Here is a 20,571-nt window from a genome sequence, read left to right as displayed (position 1 = left end):
TAATAGTATTTATATATCTTCCTTTCTCTAGAGATGTGGTCCCCAAGTAATTCAGATTTCTGAACTTCACTTCAGCTTCTATTTCTGGGATAGGACCCTTGCATATGTTTGTTTTAAAAGCTCCCTGCATTAAAAACAACCAGGCTCAGATGGCTCCATTAAGGGGTTTTGCTTATTTGTCTCCTGCATAAGCCAGAGGCTTTCAATGCTTGGCTGAATACAGTCTCTGAGGAGCTTTTAAAAAATGCAAATGCCCGCGGGGCGTGGTGGCTCACGCCTGTAATCCCAGCACTTTGGGAGGCAGAGGTGGGCGGATCATGAGGTCAAGAGATCGAGACCATTCTGGCCAACATGTTGAAACCTCATCTCTACTAAAAGTACAAAAATTAGCTGGGTGTGGTGGTGCGCACCTGTACTCCCAGCTACTCGGGAGGCTGAGGCAGGAGAATAGCTTGAACCTGGGAGGCAGAGGTTGCAGTGAGCCGAGATTGTGCCGCTGCACTCCAGCCTGGCGACAGAGCGAGACTCCATCTCAAAAAAAATAAATAAATAAAAATGCAAATACCTTGGCCTCACCCAAGGCCAATTATATTAAAATATATGCAGTGCAGTGGGGGCAGGGGAGGCAATGTGACCAGATATTAGTGTTTTTTAATAGAAAGTGTTGCAGGTGATTTCAAATATAGAGTGAGATTTGATAACTTGTGATGAAGGACTTTTTATTGCTATGTCTTGATTGTCACCATTTGATATGCTCCCCTATGTCAGCTGCTCTATAAAGGCTTGCCAAATGATTGATGGACTGGACATCCCCTATTGTATTTGCCCATCCCTGAATCCTGAATGGCATTAAGATGGGTCTGGTTCTAGATTGAGTCATGTTGGTCTTCATTTTCTTAGCACAGGTGCAGCAGTGAACAGCAGTGAGAGTCTCCCTCCATCCTCGTCTGTCAATGACATCTCCTCCATGTCCACCGACCAGACCCTGGCATCTGACACTGACAGCAGCCTGGAAGCCTCGGCAGGACCCCTGGGTTGTTGCAGGTGACTAGCCGCCTGCCTGCGAAACCCAGCGTTCTTCAGGAGATGATGTGATGGAACACACACACACGCAGACACACACACACACACAAATGCAGACACACAACATCAAGAAAACAGCAAGGGAGAGAATCCAAGCCTAAAATTAAATAAATCTTTCAGCCTGCTTCTTCCCCAGGGTTCTGTATTGCAGCTAAGCTCAAATGTATATTTAACTTCTAGTTGCTCTTGCTTTGGTCTTCTTCCAATGATGCTTACTACAGAAAGCAAATCAGACACAATTAGAGAAGCCTTTTCCATAAAGTGTAATTTTAATGGCTGCAAAACCGGCAACCTGTAACTGCCCTTTTAAATGGCATGACAAGGTGTGCAGTGGCCCCATCCAGCATGTGTGTGTCTCTATCTTGCATCTACCTGCTCCTTGGCCTAGTCAGATGGATGTAGATACAGATCCGCATGTGTCTGTATTCATACAGCACTACTTACTTAGAGATGCTACTGTCAGTGTCCTCAGGGCTCTACCAAGACATAATGCACTGGGGTACCACATGGTCCATTTCATGTGATCTATTACTCTGACATAAACCCATCTGTAATATATTGCCAGTATATAAGCTGTTTAGTTTGTTAATTGATTAAACTGTATGTCTTATAAGAAAACATGTAAAGGGGGAATATATGGGGGGAGTGAGCTCTCTCAGACCCTTGAAGATGTAGCTTCCAAATTTGAATGGATTAAATGGCACCTGTATACCAATTTGTAGAAAGAACATATGTGATACTTATGTAAAGTGTGGGGCGAGTGGGTAACAGTTTTCAGGCACAAAATGGTTTGGCCTTCTGAAGGCAGGTGTGAATAAAAGCTGAGAGTCTTTTCTGTGACAGTAAAGAGTAGGAGAGACTGGAGGGTAGTGTGTGGTGTGGACTAAGACTGAAAGGAGGTTATTACCCAGATACTAGGAGACACTGGTGTCCCTGTTTTAGAGATTTGGCTCTATACCCATTTGTCATTTCTCAATTACTGGTCACAACAAGAGGCCACTGGAGAAAGTGGCAGGTGGTGAAGCAAGGTTATTGTGTGTGCTTTTGATGATAAGAATCTCTCTCTGGAACTGAGCAGAATTGCCTCCATGTGAATTCCTTCAACAAAAAAATGAGCCTGCCTAGACTACTTTCAGATTGTGGATTGTGTTTTCCATGTGTGGGCTGCTTCCCTGATTCATACTCTGCCAAAGTTTTATTTTGAGAAATAATATTACTTTCCTCTTCTGAAATAAAATAATAATAATAATAATGAAACCCCCAAACCACAGTGTGAGTCTCAGGTTAGCATTTGAAAACATCTCCAGAGACATTGTTATTCCTCAGGAGTTTCCCTGACTCCTTAATGTGGCTGATGTTTCATGTTTATTTATTTATTTTAATAAGTATGAGCAATCGAAGGGCTGATCATCTGAGTTTTGTACTGCAGTAGATGTAAGAGCAATAACTCTGCCCATAAATTTACTGCTGCCAAATAGTTTTAGCAATATGAGTTTGTCTTAAAAGCCATGAAGCATTAATGTCAATGTTTAGCAAAATCTCCAGAATTTAGCTTAAATTAAATTAAATGAAAGTGCTTTCCTGAGCACTTAAGGAGGCACTGTGAAACATCTTGGTTATGTACAAGGCAATACCAAGGTGATCTCAGCAATAATCAGGCTTCCCTTCTTATTCACTTCGAAGTATCCATCACAGTTATTTGCACTCTGACCATGTTGGTGCTCACTAGAGTGGTGATATTTCACCTGAAGAAGTGAAAGACAGGAAGTGGATGGTTGATGAGTGTGAACTGATTGGCAAATAGAATATCCCCAAAACAGAGCAAACAAGAATGCCAGTGCTCTGAAAACTGCCTTAAATATAATAATAGGGAACTTTCTTTCTCTCTTCAAGCAATAGAGACCACAGGGAACTGCACCCACCTGCACCATCGCCATGCCAGTGGTGCTGCCATTCTGAGATTATTTCACACAGTCAGATTCAGTACACGCAGTCATTTGTTTAAAATAAATAGAAGAACATTCCTTTGTGCAGCTTGTCCCCTGGAATAAAAATGGCCCATTTTCTCTATTTTGCTACCATTTTTTTTCTGGTTAATATTGCAGATAACCTGATTGTTAAAAATGCCTCCTCAGTCACTTGAGCTCCCTCTCTTTCATATTCCTGTTTTTTTTTTTTTTTTTTAAAAACTTCTCCTCTCTGTATCTCTAATTCTTTACTGATTTTCTTTCTCGGTACTTTTCTCTTGATATATCTGTGGCTTCTCCCCTCCCTTACTTTATACCACATGGGATTAAGTGCGGAGAGCAGGAAGCTGCTTTAAAGAGAGTCTCAAGGGGAATTTCATCAGCCGCAAGATGACATCACAAGACAGAAGGAAGTCTCCAGCCAGCATCTTCAAAGTGCTTGACAGGCTATCTCTCGTACCTGCATAAGTGGTGAATTTCCCCCTCAGAGTAAACCAGGCAAGAACTAGACAGGGCCCCTCCCCCGCTGTTAGTACCTTCCCAAAGCTCAATTAGTCTTACATCTTCTGTGCATGGCTCTTGGGAGCTGGTTAGCTTTAGCCAGATTTCCCTTATGGACAAGAGAAAAATGGAACAAATTCCTTGAATATAAGTATCATTTACAAATAGAGGTAAGGATTTGGCCCCCAGAATTTTTGCAGGATCAGTTTTATTAGGTGATTAAAGCAAGGCAGATGATGGAACAACAAAGAGAATCACCACTGTAAAAGCCCCCCAGTCCTTTGCCCACTAGGTCTGCTTTCCTATAATATGTCTAGGAGGTGATGATATTATCAAATTCACAGAATATAATATGTTCTGCATTCACTTGTCTGTCTTAACACACACACACACACACACACACACACACACACACACACACCCCAAATATTTCTTAAATAGTCACCTGTTATTTCCCAAGAACATCCCAACTTTTCCGGTAGGCAAGTGTCAAGTCACCTGGACAATATTCCTGAAAAAAAGTGAAGGTTCTACCTGGGGTTGGGGCTCATTTTGGAACATGAAGTTGGCACTCTGAGGAGCCTAACCTTCTGTTAGGCTTCCTTTGGGGCAGTTGGTTTGCAGTGATCCTTAATAAAATAGTTTGCAGTATTTTGTAGGAAGGATGGCTGTGTACTCATGTGCAGGGAAAATTAAACTGCTGCAAGAGTTTGGCAAAACCGCCACCACTTTACTATTAATATGTCTTTACTATTTTTATATGTGTTTTGTGGGTCAGCGTGTTCAATTTTAAATAGGAATACACTAGCCTTACAACGGAATTTCTTCTTGTGGAATAAAAACTGATAATAACCTTTCATCTTCAAGAATCTGATGACTGAGTTTTGTAGGAATGTACCCAACAGTTGGACCAGAGCCTGGCCAGTTCCCACCAATTGGAGTAAGCTATTTAATTGAGGGTTAAGAAGCTCGATAGTTTTTTCAATCTGTTATCAGAAAAATATTATCTAAAGACACTGATAGCAGCTGACTGGTAAAACTGAAAGTTGGCCTTAGTAAATGGAACTAGTAAAAAATAGATAAAAATATGTAAAACCTTTTATGTCCTGTCAAGGAAAAAAAAATAAGCAAACTTGATTTGTTTTAAAATTGTAAATATTCATTGCAAAACCTAAATTATACAAAATCTATTTCGATTTGAATCTCTTAACATATGAAAAGCCACATCTTAAGTGCATTATGCTCTGTAAGGCATGTTATTAGCCAGCTTTGCTGAAAAATGTATTCTTCTACAGCTCAGAAAGAGGAGTAAAATTGCTCTAGAAATTTTTGATCTCAGCCACTTTGCATCCAAAGAGGAACCCAACTCCCCACTCACAATCCCCCACACACATTTTAATTATAAGAGTTCAACATTTTCCACAGATATCATTAAGCCAAGCAAGGAAACTCCTCTCTGTAAAAACAACAAAAAAGTTGCAATGTAAATAGTTATTTTAGCTATTTTCTTTGTGATTAGAGGATAAGATTTTGTTATTTCTTTTGGTACTTAGTCCTTTAACTATCTGAAAATGGCTCACTTTGACCTGTTTCTTTGGTCAGCCAAACTGAAGTGAGGGGCCTCTGTTTATATATAGAATCTTGTATATGTAACTTTACTTATGTGGGACCAATGGCCAGTATATTCTAATGGACACAAATCTCCCAATCCTTATGTAGGATTATCTGTTCACCTTGCCATGTCCATCTTGCAATGAGACCTAACTTGCACCTGCCTGTTTTTCTGCATGATTGGACTCCAAAGACTATTACCAATGATGAGAATTGTCTTGTGTCAGTGTTTATAAAATGGACTTAAAGCACACACACATGCATACCCACATTCACATGCACCCTTACAGTTCTAGATCAACCCTGGAAGGCAAAACCATGTACGTCCAGTTTCTTTGCAAGGTCTGAGCAGTGAGAACTAAATTCAGTCAGTCTAATGGGTAAAATGCAACCTCAGTGATGCTTAATAAGGATTTGAAATCGTTCAAGTCATTTCTGTGTTCTTTCTCACACCCTTTCCTTTCTATTTTGTCTTCTTTTATTTTCAAAATGTCTGTGGAACAAGAGGATGAATCGGGGGAGAACTTCTGCTTCTTTTGACTCTTTTTAGGTAATATGGAGTCAATATATTATGATTTCTGTTTCTTATGGATTATTAAAATCAGAGGAAATCTGCTTCTCTCAACATAAAACCAAATCCAAACCCAGACATTGTTGGAGTTTGCCTGTTGACAATGGTTATGATGCTGCTCGTTGTCTTGAGTTGCATGTAACGACAGTAGCTCTGAAGGGTGTCATGATTTCATTTTGGCAACTGGTAAAAGAAACTTGTAGTGTGGTCTGATTGTGCCAGGGAATAAATAAGAAATAAGGAATGACCTACTTTCTCACCTTGGGTCAAGAGTGTGTGATATGAATGTGACCATGTAGAAATCTGTGTTTTCATTTGACACTGGTTTCTTCTAAAACTGACCTTCATTTCTGTCTGTAGATACTAGTTGTATATCTGCAATTCAGTAATTTCTTTTTAAGGTATAAAATCAATGAAGAAAAAAAAGATCATCTTTTGGGGGGGCATTAGGTAAGTAGAGCAGGGTTAAATTTCCCAGATTAATTATCAGATTTCTATTCATTTTAACTATTTTCCAAGAGAAAAGGTAAAAGCCTTTGTTTAGCTACATGATATCCAACTTTACTATCTCAAACTCCTTGGAGAATTAAAAATATATATGATTTTGTGGCTGGATGAAGAGGTCACTGCACTTGCATTAGTTTACTTTGCAGTGTTTGAACAGTTGAGGAGTGGCTCTTCTATTTCTGTAAATAATGTTTTATTTAACCAATTAACTATTAGAAAGCCTGGAAGATAAACATACACATTATTTTGAGTTATCACATTTATCGTTTTACCTAGTTCCTGTTGGAATATAGAAAGCAACAGCTTTTTGTTATCTCTGGAACAGCTTCTATCCTAGTTTAAATCACAGATCCTTACTCTCTTTAAAAAAGGTCAAGCATAGGTACCTAAAAATACCCACAATAATAAGAAGGGAAATTGCATTCCACAAGATGATTGCTCTTAAAGAGTCAGAAGGAGTTATTGGTGCATTCCTGATACCATAAATGGTTACCAAACATTTGGTAATTTTGACCAAGTTCACAGTAAGGAGAAAAAAGGGTGTTGGACTTGCTTTTCTTGAAGATTACTTATGGAGCAACCAACCTAGAAGGATGAATCTACTTGCCAATAACAACACTGGATCACAGCCAAGGCAGAGGTTTTTGACATTCCCAATTCATCATGGTGGTGTTTTGTATTTGTAACATGTCTTTTCTCCACAGATGTTGAAAGGCATGCTTGGATGACACATGCTAATAGTGAAACACGCTGAAAGTCCTGCCATCACAGATCACTTTATGTTGGGAGCCACTCTATGTGGCAAGTCATCTGTCCCAGTTCCAGACTAAATTTCAACTGTTCAACCATTTACATCATTGTAGTCTGTTTAAGGCACTAAAAATGTGCTGTAGAAATTTATATTTCTCAGACACATGAAATGTGGTGACACATCCAGCAACAAGTCAAACACTCCTTTGAAATTTTCTACCTTATGTCAAATATTTCTTACTTTTAAAGACATTCCTATCCTGGTGTAAAATCCAACATAAAATAATTTGAGGGAATTTAAGGAATTCAAATTTCACTCCGTGGGGTACGTGGCTTTATTTCTTAATCACTGAACTTCTAGTAATGTTCTTCACCTGATCTTGTCTGCGATGTTTAACCAACAGTCCAGATCATTTGCAACTCAAAAGCAGGTACAAAATGTTATCCATCTTAAAAACCCCTCACATATTCCCTAGAAGACTGTCCCACACATAATTCGCCTTCCATTAACACTTGTGAACCCATCCTGGTGAAAATATTGCCTATGAACAATTATACCAAAAAATCAATTTTTATAATGCAAATAATATTTTACACAGACCAAGAGAATTCATAATATTAAAGTATTTCTTTTATAAAAGGAAGGTTTTCAGAAAGCAATGGCCTATTCCTTCATGTTAATACATTGCGAACTTGGATTTGGTGTAAATCAAGCCCTGAGAATATTGCTCTGAATTTCTAGCTTAATTTCTGAGCAACATTCTAAAGCAGTTCATTAATTTACTCCAAAAACATTTCTTGGACACTTCGGTGTAGGAGATATATATTGCATGGTCCTTAACCTAAAAAATTCAGAGTTAATAAATCTTTGTTTAAAAAAACTAAAGCAAATATTTTTATTTCATTTATTTGCTATCTTTTTACAAAATGTATTTAAATTAGTGGTGTGACTTGCACGAGTCCATTTTTATTATTTGCTTAAAGCGATGAAACAAGGAGTCTGCTTCTTTCAATGTTCTTATTTTGTCTAATTATATAAGTATACTTCATGAATCAGCATGAGAATTTTGAATATTTTCCATTACAAGAGATGAAACCACTTTTAAAAATTATTTAAAATTTAAAATTCATTTTAAAAATGCATGGATGTTCTTTTCCGCATTGCAGAAAGTTTGCTTTGATGTATGGTTCCTCTGAGAGCTATTGGACCTAGATGCTGACTGAGCATGGGGCTTATACTTTTGGCATCACAATCTCCAAATTAGCAAATGATATCACAATGGGTACTGAAGCTTCTTTGCAGTGACATTCTTACATGAAGCCAAATCTTCGGAGTTTGTTCAGTCTATGGGTGACTGTTGGAACCCTAAAATAACTTAAAGTAGAATTTGGTCATTTATTGTTTTTTTTTATTAAAAGGTCCAACTGAGAACATCCCTGAACATCTGAACCAGAAATTTGACATAGAGCTCTAAATATTCACTCATTCATTCATGCAACAAATATTTATTTATCAAGCACGTCAACCATCCAAGGACTGTTCTAGGTACACATAGTTGATGTGATGAAGTCAGCAAATCTGCCTTCACATGGTCTGCATTCTAGTGGAGAAGTCAGATAGAGGTAAGTACGAAGACCACAAAGCAGGTTAAAAAGTAAGGTGGGAAAGGGATGCTATTTTAGACAAGGTGGTCAGGGCAAGCCTCTCAGAAGAGGGGATAAGTGCTCAGAGACCTGACTGAAGTGAGAGTGAGCTATTGACACGGAGAAGGGCATTTCAGACTCTGAAGAGAAAGCAGGGGCAGGCTTTGGAGGGAGAGCTTGTTTATATAGACAAGGAGGGGCAAAGAGTCTTGTGGATAAAGCAGAATGAACAAGAGTAAATGGGATTGTAAATGAAATTGGAGAGAGAAGCAGGGGTCAGAGCATGGCAAGATCTTGAGATTTGATTCTAAATATGGGAAGATGGTGGTTAGATTTGAAAAAGGAAATGATATAAGCTAAATTTTCTTTTTAAAAGGATTCCTTTGGCTACTGAGTAAAGAGGACTCTTAGGAAGAAAGATAAGAATGGGGACAAAAAAATCCATCGTAGGATAAAACATTAATCCAGAAAGACATGATGGGGCTTAGACTAGGAAAAGGAGATGGTGAGAAGGATTTGAATTCTGGACCTATTGTGAAGGCAGAGCTGAGAAGATTTGCTGATAGATTGATATTGTGATATAAAAGCAAGAGATCAGAAATGGCTCTAGATTCTTTTACCTAAACCATGAAGTAAATGATGGTACAGTTGACTGAGATGATGAACAATGGGTTAGAAAAACATTGGGGAGAAAATCATGTTTGTTTTTGGAATATCAGTTGGAGATGTTTATTAGATATCCAAGTGGAGGCCGGGCACGGTGGCTCACGCCTGTAATCCCAGAACTTTGGGAGGCCAAGGCAGGCAGATCATGAGGTCAGGAGATCGAGACTATCCTGGCTAACATGGGGAAACCCCATCTTTACTAAAAATACAAAAAATTATCTGGGTGTGGTGGCATGTGCCTGTAGTCCCAGCTACTCAGGCTGAGGCAGGAGAATTGTTTGAACCCGAGAGGCGGGGGTTGCAGTGAGCCGATATCAAGCCACTGCACTCCAGCCTGGGTGACAGAGTGAGACTCTATCTCAAAAAAAAAAAGAAAAAAAAAAAAAATCCACGTGGAGTAGCAGGAGTGTCTTATAAGCTGGAGTTCAAGGAAGAGGGTGAGCTGAAACAGAAATCTGAGAGTAATCAGTTTATAAGTAGTATTAAAAGCCAAGAGCCTGTATGAGCCCACCAAAAGACAGTGTAGTTAAAGAAGAGAAAACCAAAGATGGAGATGCCTCTCACTCCAACATACAGACCTCAGAAAACAGGAGGGTATTCCAGAATGTTCAGTGAGGTAGAGGGAAAACCAGGAGTGTGCTGTCCTGGAAGCCAAGTAAAGAAGGTGTTTCAAAAGTGAGAGAATGGGCAGGGGCGGATTGTTATTGAGAGGCTGAGTAAAATGGGAACTGAAGATTCACAGTTGGACTAAATCTGTTTGAAGGTCATCGATGACCCCAATGAGAGCAGTTTCTATCCAGTATTGAGCAAGAAAAGAGTAACTCGAGTGAGTTCAAGAAAACATGGGAAGTAAGGAAGTAGAAATAGATACAGAAAATTCAAAATATTTTTCTACAAAGTGCAGCAAAAGAATGATGTAAACGTTGGAGATAAATGTGAGATTGAGAGATTTTTTTAAAAGCTAATATAGCATGGGTAATAGTGCTGGTGGGGCCAACAGAGAGATAGCAAAACTGATAATGCAAAAGAGAAAGGGATATTTATTTGATAGAGTAACATGCTTGAAAAGGGTGGAGGGACAGGCTCCAGTACATGGGCAGAGGCGCTGGCCCTGGACAGTAACTGCAGCAGGCAGTGAGGTGGTGTGCACAGAGGCAGGTAGTTTGGGAATACGGTGACGTGATGGGCATAAGTACATACTCATCTGATTTTTTTTTTTGTTGTCTCAGTAAAGATAGAAGTAAGGTTGTCAGTAGACAATGAAGAGTTTGTGGAAGTTTGAGAAGTGTGAAATTGACCTTGGAAACTGTGACAATAAGTTACTGGACAGTGATGAAAACCATGTGAGCCATATTAATATAAATACAAAGGAACACAGGTCAACTTGGTGGTCTTTTGTTCTCCAGTCATGTTTAGTTTTTTTAGGCACAGGTTAAGAGTAAGAAAAAATTACTAGAGTTGCAATTTGTTTCTTTTTAATTCTCAAAAGAGTAGTACAGTGCTGGGAGAGTACATAATGGGATTTGGAAATGGGGGCAAGAGAATAATTATGAGAAGGAACCATAGAAGCTAAGCTGGTCAAGGAGGGAAGTAATGAAATGGGGGATGATAGTCGCTGAAAACTTACCAATTTGGAGTGATGGTGCTAAGGGGAGTGACTAGAGAGAGAAGAAGTGATGACCACAGCGTGGGATGCTTGAAATGGAACTGTTGGCGATGCCAGTGATTAGTCATGACACAGTACGCAGTGTAACCATGAGTGTGGTGGCTGATGTTCAGGCAGCGGCAGAACAAGATTTTCAAAAGTCGTCAAGGAGCTGAGTGGCCAAGATGGTGAATGGAGTATGAGTGGGGAGGGTGAGTGGGTTAGGTGCTAGAATATTCAGTCAATGATAAGGAGACATGTGCTTGTAAGAAGGTCATTAGAGAGGAAGAAGGATTAAAGGTCTGAAAGTAGCTGCAAATAGCAAAGCAAGATGTCTCCCCTTCAGGCCAATGATACGCAGGTTGTAGAGAGGAAGATAGCTAGGCTTGAGAGGGCTGCAGGGAAGATGGTGTCTTCAGGAGGCAACCATGATTCAGAGAAGAGGACATAGGGGAGGGTGATGGCATTGTAAGATCTAGAGGGGATAATGGAAAAGTCCTAGGCAGGGGGAGGCCATTGGAGATAGAAGCAAATGAGAGAATACACTGGGCAATATGGGGATAAGCAAATAGATGAAGGAAAAATGGCATGGGAACTTGGACTATTTTGGCAACAGGTAACCAGCGATGAGGGTCTGATGGCATGACCCTGGGGATCACTTCAGTGTGGTGCATAATTAATCTAGTGAATCATGAGGGGGTAGGGAACAGGGAATGGGTGTGTGGAGAAGAGAGAGTTGGGATGGACATCCTCTATTCGCAAGAACAGGTGGGATGCTCGGGGCCTCCCCCAGAAGTAAGAGACAGTTTTGCTCAAAGAAAATGATGCCAATTTGGTTTGCCCCCTAACAATTCACTGTTCTCCTGTTGCCCTCATTCCCTATTTAAGAAAAGGCTGGCCTCACTGTGGCTTATCCTTCAAGAGGCCATACAGACAGCAGCTATACAGAAGTTCATAAATAAGGAGTATCATTCAAACCTGGACCTGAGCCACAAATGGTGCTTTAAAAACCACACTTTTCATCAGCTAAACTTTTTACTGAAAGATCTACAGTAGGTTCAGTAGATTTTAGCTGCCTGGGGAACTGTTAGTTCTCCAAGTCACTTCAGAGCAAGAGGCCCTTAAGCTGGGCAGTTCTAACTTTCAACTCATTCCCCACTTGTGCAGTTAAGAAGACTATAAAGAGAATAATGAAACAGACCTTTGGGAGCCACAGTTCCAGCACTCCTTTCCTGTAGTTTGTGAGTTCAAACAAGGCAAAATGTTTCCAGCTCTGGATGCTTTCTCTGAATAAGAGAGTAGAAGCCGCGTGGGTACTAAGTGTGTTTTCAGGTCTCATGACGTGCTGCTAAGGTGTTAGGCACAATGCCATCTTGATGGCATGAACTTGGTAGGTCATGTTTATTTTATTGAAAAGACTCCCTAGGGTCTACCCTGAAGGCACATTTGCCATGCTGTTCCATGGGCTAGGAAGGCCCCTTACCAAAACTGCAGCTCTGTCTGATGACTTCCTACTGGTCTTTAGGACTCACACCAAAGTCACGGCTCTGCAGTGCTCTCCTGAGCTTCACCTTTATGGTCTCTTTAGTTACTTCCACAGCACATCATATAACATGGCAATAACTGTAAGTTTATGTACCCCAGAGGACCTAGTCCACAGCCCTCAGTTTATTCATGATAGCCCTCAGAAACATTCATTGTATTTTATCCAATACCTTTAACACCCAACATCATCTTTAGTGTAGACATGGATAGAGTTGATGAAGGACAGTTACACGTAGTTGTTTAGACATGATTTTCAGATCATGGATGTAATTGTATTATCTCAGAAAGAAAGAGTGGTTTGGGTTACTTTCCTTGCCATCAATCCCTGGCAGATTATCTGGGCACGGATAAACTTAAGAGTCTCTGAGACCAAGATATAATTATATCCTGTGCTGGTGATCATGATACTTTTAATGCTGGTCATATCCCTGAGTCCAGAACCTTGCTACGTTCCTTAGAAGCTGAAACACTCTTTCAACAGAAATAATTTGAGGGCTGATAGTTTCCATTTAGTGAGCACTTACTATGTTCCAGGCACTATGTTAATCCCTTCACCTATTGTACTACATTCCTCATAAAAATATGATAAGGGAGGAACTATTAACTCTACTTCCAGAAAAAAACAAATTTAGGCTTATATATATTACATAATTTAGGTTCATAAAGCTATGAGGTGGCAGAGCTGGGTTTGAACCCTGGTCGTAGATTCCAAAACTCATGCGTATGGTACTCTAATCAGAGTGCAGCTCTGCAGTGTAAGGAACACTGGGGTTTGCGGCAAGCATTACATTATTTAATGCTCTCCTGAATTTTCAAGGTGTCATAATTATATCAATAATATAAACTACCCAGCCTGGGAATGATTTTTTGAAGAATATCCCAGCTTGAGAATCAATGGGAATGATTACTTAAACTCCACCTGGAGATTTTAGTCATTTCATAATGTTACATATAATAAAATCATGTTTCAGTAGAGCTGACATCATAGGCAATTCTACCTTAAATGTTCTCCAAAGGATACCCAGACATCTAGTTTGAATAGTGAGGCTAACACAGTAGGCCCCACATCTGAAAGCAAATCCTTTCTCGAGTTTATAACTTAAGATTCATTTTAATTACCTAAATAGTTTTAAAGAGGCATATACAGGATGTAGCAAATGAAATCTTGATACTACCTAACTACTTTGTATCCTTATTGATTTCCAATTTATTCTTATGTTAATTGTACTTAATATTGTCTAGGCTTTTTATTTGACTAACGGAAACCCAGATGAACATGCTGCTCATGGTATCCATTGATTAGTGCCATCATCACTGAAATTGACAATTAAAATTGATAATATCATCCCTCAAATATCACAGGCCACAAAACACCCTGTGTGTGTGTGTGTGTTTGAGTATATTTGCATTCCCAAAAATTACTGCAAACTCACTGTGCTGACATTCTCTTTGGCATAAGGCATGGAGGGATTTAACAGCAAGAAGATACAATCTTGGCCCCTTAAGAAGCTCCATTTATCAATAGAGTTATCAGTGGAGCAAAGTGACAGGCACCGGGATAAGCACATTACATACCACCATTAACCACGGCAACATCCCTACTTTGTAGGAGTTATTATCTCCACCTTGTAGATGAGATCAGACAAGTCAAGTTACCTGGCATTGCCATGTATCTTGCATAAGGCATGTTGAGAGGCAGATCTAGGTTTGAATGGCTCTCAATTTTCTGCTATTTCCACTTCATCACTCTCCCTCCTAAATTGCTTCTTATTTGATAAAGAAAATAATCAGATGTGGGAAAGACAGAAAGAGATAATGCGAATGGGGGCACAAAAAGCAACTAACACTGATTTGAGATTCTGGGAAGCTTCATGAGGAAACTGACATTGATTTGGCTCTTAAAGGATGTTTGGAGCATGCCAGCTAGAAAGAAGGCAAGCAAGAAGGACACAACAATAGCAAGTGGAAAGTTCTAGAGGTATGAAATGGCATGGCAGGTGTGGTGGGAAGTGGTAGGAGACAAGAATGAAACTGGCAGTAGGACCTTTTACACTATGTGAAGGGCTTTGTCCTGGGCAAGTGACAGTCATCATATGTAATGAGCAAGATCAAGCTATGGTCAGATGAATAATTTCGAAAAGGCAGCCTGCAAAGGACAAAAGTACAGGAGAGATGCTGGAACAAAACGCGCTGGGTAGGATGCCTTCATCAAAAGGTAAGGGAAAAGTGATTAAAGAGAGCAGATTAAAAAGGCAAAGATGAGTGGAATAGATTAGCTGGTGAGCAAATTTATGAGTGAAGAAGTGGGTAGAGAAGAAAAATATGAGTTGGCTGGGCGCGGTGGCTCACGCTTGTAGTCCCAGACAAATTAAGTGACCCGTCATTGCTATGCATCTTGCATAACTTTTGGGAGGCTGAGGAGGGCAGACAGCTTCAGCCCAGGTGTTTGAGACCAGCCTGGGCAATATGGCGAAACCCTGTCTCTACAAAAGAAAATACAAAAATTAGCTGGGCATGGTGGCGTATGCCTGCAGTCCCAGCTACTCGGGAGGCTGAGGTGGGAGGATCACCTGAACCTAGGGAGGTCAAGGCTGCAGTGAACCGTGATCATGCCACTGCACTCCAGACTGGGTGACAGAAGGAGACAGTGAGACTGTCCCCCCACAAAAAAAAAGAAAGAAAGAAAGAAAGAAAATATGCGTTAACATTTATGGAGTCTTTTTTTTTTTTTTTTTTTTTTTTTAGACGGAGTCTCGCTCTGTCGCCCAGGCTGCTGGAGTGCAGTGGCTTGATCTTGGCTCACTGCAAACTCTGCCTCCCGGGTTCACGCCATTCTCCTGCCTCAGCCTCCCGAGTAGCTGGGACTACAGGCGCCCACCACCACACCCGGCTAATTTTTTGTATATATATATATATATATTTTTTTTTAGTAGAGACAGGGTTTCACTGTGTTAGCCAGGATGGTCTGAGTCTCCTGACCTCGTGATCCGCCCGCCTCGGCCTCCCAAAGTGCTGGGATTACAGGCGTGAGCGACCATGCCTGGCCCCTTTTTGGATTCTACTAGCAGCTGTGCTCAGCCTAACCCAAGCTATCTCATTAAGACCACATAACAACTCTATGGGAGTAGTATTTTTATTATTCCAATTGCACAGAGGAAAAAAAAAGTTATGCATAGAAGGTTCAGTAACAGCTGGCAAATTGTATACCATTTGAACCCAAGCAGTTTGAATATCTTTGTTTTTTTTACTAGTGCATCATATAGCTTTCTGGATGAGTCTGAGGTTTTTATCAACTATGATAAGGACTGGAAATAGGTGAAAAGATATGAAGGGAGAGTTATTAAGATCAATTTTCATATTTTGAGTTTGAATTTCCTATCGTATGTCCAGGTGGAAGTAACTGGTTAAATAATTGGAAAGAGAGAGAAAAGGGAATTAAAGAAATTATTGCTATAAAGATACTGGTTGATACCATAGGACCACAGACGCTTGCTCAGTGGGAGAGTAAAAAATAAAAGCAAGACAGTGGCAAGGATGAAAGCAGTACAGACCACTTTCCCTCTTGAAAATAAATAAACACATGCAAGCATTGAACCTTCAAACAACACAAACCCCATAAACTCAAGTATGTAGTCTCTATTTCCGATTATGCCTTTTGTAACTTTTTGTTCTACGGTGAGAAAGATTATTTGCCTGGCCTCTCAAAACCATTGCCTTATTGTGAAGAACTGTTCTCCCAAAACTCTAGCTCCAAAGAGCCCTGGGTTTTTCTAGAAAATTAGCATTGCTGAGGTTCCCATATTTGCTAAAATTGGAACTTTAGGCATTCACCTTTTAAAATTATTGTATGTTTTAACAGGAAAGTGATACTGTCAAAATTAGAAGCAAAATGGTTTGTTTCTTCTAAACTTTTCTCCTTCTCCTGCAGCCTGGCCCCCTCCCACTATCTTCTTGCTGCAAACCAACTTTGCCAGCTGTAGTAGGGAGAGAATCCCAGATGGCAATAGCCTGAGTGAGAAAAAAATGTCACTACGTGACATATACTCTAGCAGTTTCACTCAGAGGGAAACAGTAATACCATTTCACTGCTGGTATTCTAAAGTGCAGTTGTTGGGAGATGGGAGAGGTTTGAGTGGGAGACAGGTGCTCACGTGGGCATGGTTTAGCAAGCATTGTTTCCCAGTACCTAAGTAGCAGGAGAATTCCTCTAAAACTATCCAGCAGTTAAAGAGATTCGGTCCAGAGGGACAGAGTAATTCAAAGCCTGAATCGTTAAATGCCATTCTTTACCATTTTTTCTTTTCTAAGGAGCATCCTGCATTGGCGATACGCACTGAGGATCTGGCAAGGTAGACAGTGGGCCTCAGAAAGGGACTTTCTCATGGAGTCTCAAAGTTCCTATGTCAAATCGCCTCGCAAAAGCAAAACTGAGTGGTGCCAGGGGAAGAATTTTAAAAGCAGCTCAAAGGTTCCTGGTGATTCGACTGTATTTTATAAAACTATTTACATTTCTCTTTTTGGTCATGACAAAGTCTATTGGCACAAACAGCACAGCCACAAAGTATTCTTCTGATTTTAATAACTCATATATTTATATATATATTTATATTTTTGCTTATCTTCATTTCCTCAGCAAAAAAGGGAAATAAAAATATTGATCTATAAAATAAGCCGATGATAACACAATGCCAAAAATAGCTTATGTTAAGTGCAAGGGGTGAAGCTTGAAAGCAAGCTAAATTGCAACAACATATTGATTTAACATTTAAATACAAGACTTGCAATAAAATAATTCTTGAAATATGCTTCTCATTTTTAGTTTACTTTTGAAAAACTACTCTATATACACATATCCAGTTGTAACACTTGACAGTAGCATTATGGGGCATGATATAACTTTGGTACACATTGCAGATATGGATGTTTAATGTCTGTAAATGATATTCCTTCACCAGTTAGACTTCTGTACATCCAGGTGACCAGCCACCTGGTTCTAAGTCATATCCCACCAGAATCCCTGGAGTCCTTGCCAGAGCCATCAGAGACAGCAGGCGAAAGCAGGCTCACTGAATCCATATTGTGTTTCCTCTCTCGGTTCTCCTGGGTTCCACTGTCAGTTCTCCAAACGTGGAAAAAAACTGCTCCATTTCTTTCTGTAGCATGTCATTTCTTTTCTCGGCATCTTCTTTTGCTCGCTCGGCATTTCGCATTTTTATTTCTATCATTGTGAACTTTTTCCTCTCCTGATCCAGTTCATCATGGAGGCTCATCATTTCTGTTTCCAAAGTCAAGTTTCGCTGTTCTAAGCTACAAAGGATGTTGGGGGGGGTGGGGGGTGGGGACGCAAGAGTAAGAGATAAAGTGATTTTATTCACTTGAAATGCAAGAGACATACAAATATTTTCTAAACTCTTTATGATGCTTAGGAAATTGGAATAAAGCCCTTTCAATGATTTAAAGGATGTAATTTTGTTGTATTATTTTACTGTTTGCTAAGATGATTTACTGTCACCTTAGTCATTAGGTCCCAAGGCCTCTCTTGGAAGCAGCTGTCATTTAATAGTAAATAAGTGAATGCCAGCACAGATAAGCCAGTAACACATGCCGGGCAGACGAGGCAGAAAGCTTCCTGGACATTAAATTGTAAAGTTCACTACACTAAATGCAGCAGGAAAGTCTGATAGTTAACAAAAAAAAAAAAAAAAGAGGGCAATAACATTTGCCTTCTATAAAAGGAAAAATAGTGATAGGAAAATGTCATTGTTGGTTAAGTTCACTGCTAAGAATGGGGTTTTTGGCAGCATATAGAGTCCCATCTTATAAAAGAGTACCCAAAGTAATGAGCTTACATTGATACGAGAGGTAAAGATCACATGTGTTAAATAAGCACTGCATCTCATATTTTGTAAAAATAAAGCCCATTCCTTTCCATCCCCAATTCTCACTGCTTCCCAAGTTATTAATATAGCTCTGGGCATAGGTATTTTATATCTCTATAAATTGATAGTTGTTTTGTATAGCTTTTGGATAATTGTAGAATTCGCAGTAACGTTTTTAAAAACAGAGACTGTTTTCTCCATAACCACTAAGATCCAAATCATATACATATATTATTCAAAAGAGGGGTATTAAAGTTACATCTTTATTTAAGATGTATCTTGGCCTCGGCTGACTTTTTAATTTCTCCTATTCTGAGCAAAAGTCCCATGGGACTCATTCAAACTTACCATACCACTGAAATTTGAAAGGTTAATGCATGTGTAGCTCTCAGATATCTGATTATTTTAATAACAGTTTTTAAATTAAAATCTCAATTATGTTTCTGCTTTGAAAAATTTGATCCCCACATGTTGATATTTCATCCAGATAATAAGAACACTTAAAAATTAATCTTCCTTCTCTTTGTAAGCAACTAGAATTTTAAAAAATAATACTTCATATTTTGTAATCCTACATCATTTAGAAGGCTATTTTAAACATATGACCACATTTTTACATGAAAAGTTGGTACTATGCTGGTTTCCACTCAGAATTATTCTACAATATATTCTCTTTGTTTTCCAAAGCTATTTTAGAGCCAAAATTTTGGAAGAAATTGAAATTAAAATACTGAGAAGGACAACCCTTACAAAACAATATATTGACACATTTGTATGTATCAGGTGCTTGTGGGAAACTTCCAGGAATGAAAAGGACTAAGTTGAATACAGAAGAAATCCCTCCCAATGCAAACATATAAAAGTGCTGGAAAAGTTTTAAGAAATATATTTTTAAAATACATCATCAAGGTTAAAATAAAACAGCAGCTTCAGCCATCAGAACCAAGGAAGAAACCGAAATATAGAACAATAAGTAGAAGCACACGAAGGATATTAGTCTTGGATAGAGGCCACAGAGCTTGGGTCTAGGTTTTTCTTTTTCACATGGGGACAGAAGGTGAGGCCTCCAGTATTAGGCAGGCAGAAAACTACAAGTAATTTAACTGAGAGCTTGGAACATTAACTGTTTTTATGAAGAAGAGACTACAAAATCTCCAATCATGGGCCTGGGGAAGTATCAGAATTGAATTAGCTCATCAGAGTATTAGTAAGCTACAAAACAGGTCTGAGAAAAGTTACCTAGAATGCCTCAAAAATGATAATTATAGAAATTTAATATGGAAAAAAGAAGTTAACAAAGACAGAGGATAGATTAACAAGGTCAAACATAGCTTAATAAGGGTTCTGGAAAGAGAAAATTGAGAAGGTGGGAAGATGAAATAGACAAAAAGATGATGAAAAAAATATTCCAGAATTGTAAAGATGTAAGTTGTTAGATCAAATCATCAAACAAAGTTTGAAAGTTAAATAAAGGAAAAGACATATCAGGAAGTTACTAATCAAAGGAAGATGGTAGGACAATATTAATATCAGAAAAAATAGAGTTTCAGGTAAAAAGCATTATTACAATGAAAAATAGGCACTAATTAATGATAAAAGGATCAATTCTTCAGGGAGATATGAACAACTCCAAACTTCTATTCACCTAGTAGTAGAGCCTCAAATTGTTCAATATAAAATATGACAAAATTATAAAAAGAAACTGATAAACTCAGAATACTGATAGGAAATTTTAAAGTATCTTTCTCAAAAATTATTGATATAGCTGATAAAAATGAGAAGAAATACAGAAGCTTTGAATAGCCTGATTAACAGACTTGATCTCTTGGTCATATATAGAATCCCAATCCAGTAATAAGGGAATAGTTTTAATAGACCAAATAATTAATATCATCCAGATGAACTTCTCTGACCACAATACAATATTTCCTAAGAAAATTGTTAGAAACTAGCTGAGTGCCATGGCTTATGCCTGTAACCCCAGCACTTTGGGAGGCCGAGGTGGGTGGATCATTTGAGGTCAAGAGCTCAAGAGCTGCCTGGCCAACATGGTAAAACCCCTGTCTCCACAAGAAAAAAAAAAATTATCCAGTCATGATGGCATGCATCTGTAATCCAAGCTACTCAGGAGGCTGAGGCAGGAGAATCGCTTCAACTTGGGAGGCAGAGGTTGCAGTGAGCCAAGATTGCATCACTGCACTC

At 39.1% G+C, this 20,571-nt stretch overlaps 2 protein-coding genes across 18 annotated transcripts in view; one reads left to right on the top strand and one right to left on the bottom strand.

Moving 5' to 3' along the window:
• Window positions 1-7,871, top strand: part of MAPK10 (mitogen-activated protein kinase 10) — a 583,670-nt gene extending 575,799 nt beyond the window's left edge. For 5 of the 10 annotated variants that reach the window (XM_047415964.1, NM_138982.4, NM_001318069.2 and 2 more), the window contains one exon: window positions 906-7,871. In XM_047415964.1, the coding sequence (XP_047271920.1) occupies window positions 906-1,048 (143 nt within the window). In that variant the 3' untranslated portion in view covers window positions 1,049-7,871. Of the gene's footprint in view, window positions 1-900 lie in introns of all 10 variants that reach the window. The other 5 variants (NM_002753.6, NM_001351625.3, NM_001363657.3 and 2 more) reach the window with 2 other exon arrangements.
• Window positions 15,610-20,571, bottom strand: part of ARHGAP24 (Rho GTPase activating protein 24) — a 527,517-nt gene continuing 522,555 nt past the window's right edge. For all 8 annotated transcript variants that reach the window (NM_001025616.3, XM_024454238.2, XM_047416235.1 and 5 more), the window contains one exon: window positions 15,610-17,797. In NM_001025616.3, the coding sequence (NP_001020787.2) occupies window positions 17,554-17,797 (244 nt within the window). In that variant the 3' untranslated portion in view covers window positions 15,610-17,553. The remainder of the gene's footprint in view (window positions 17,798-20,571) is intronic.

The sequence above is a fragment of the Homo sapiens genome, chromosome 4 (assembly GCF_000001405.40).
Source record: "Homo sapiens chromosome 4, GRCh38.p14 Primary Assembly".
NCBI lineage: Eukaryota > Metazoa > Chordata > Mammalia > Primates > Hominidae > Homo > Homo sapiens.
Note: the sequence above shows the minus strand (reverse complement) of the source record. Positions and strands in the feature narration are given on the sequence as shown.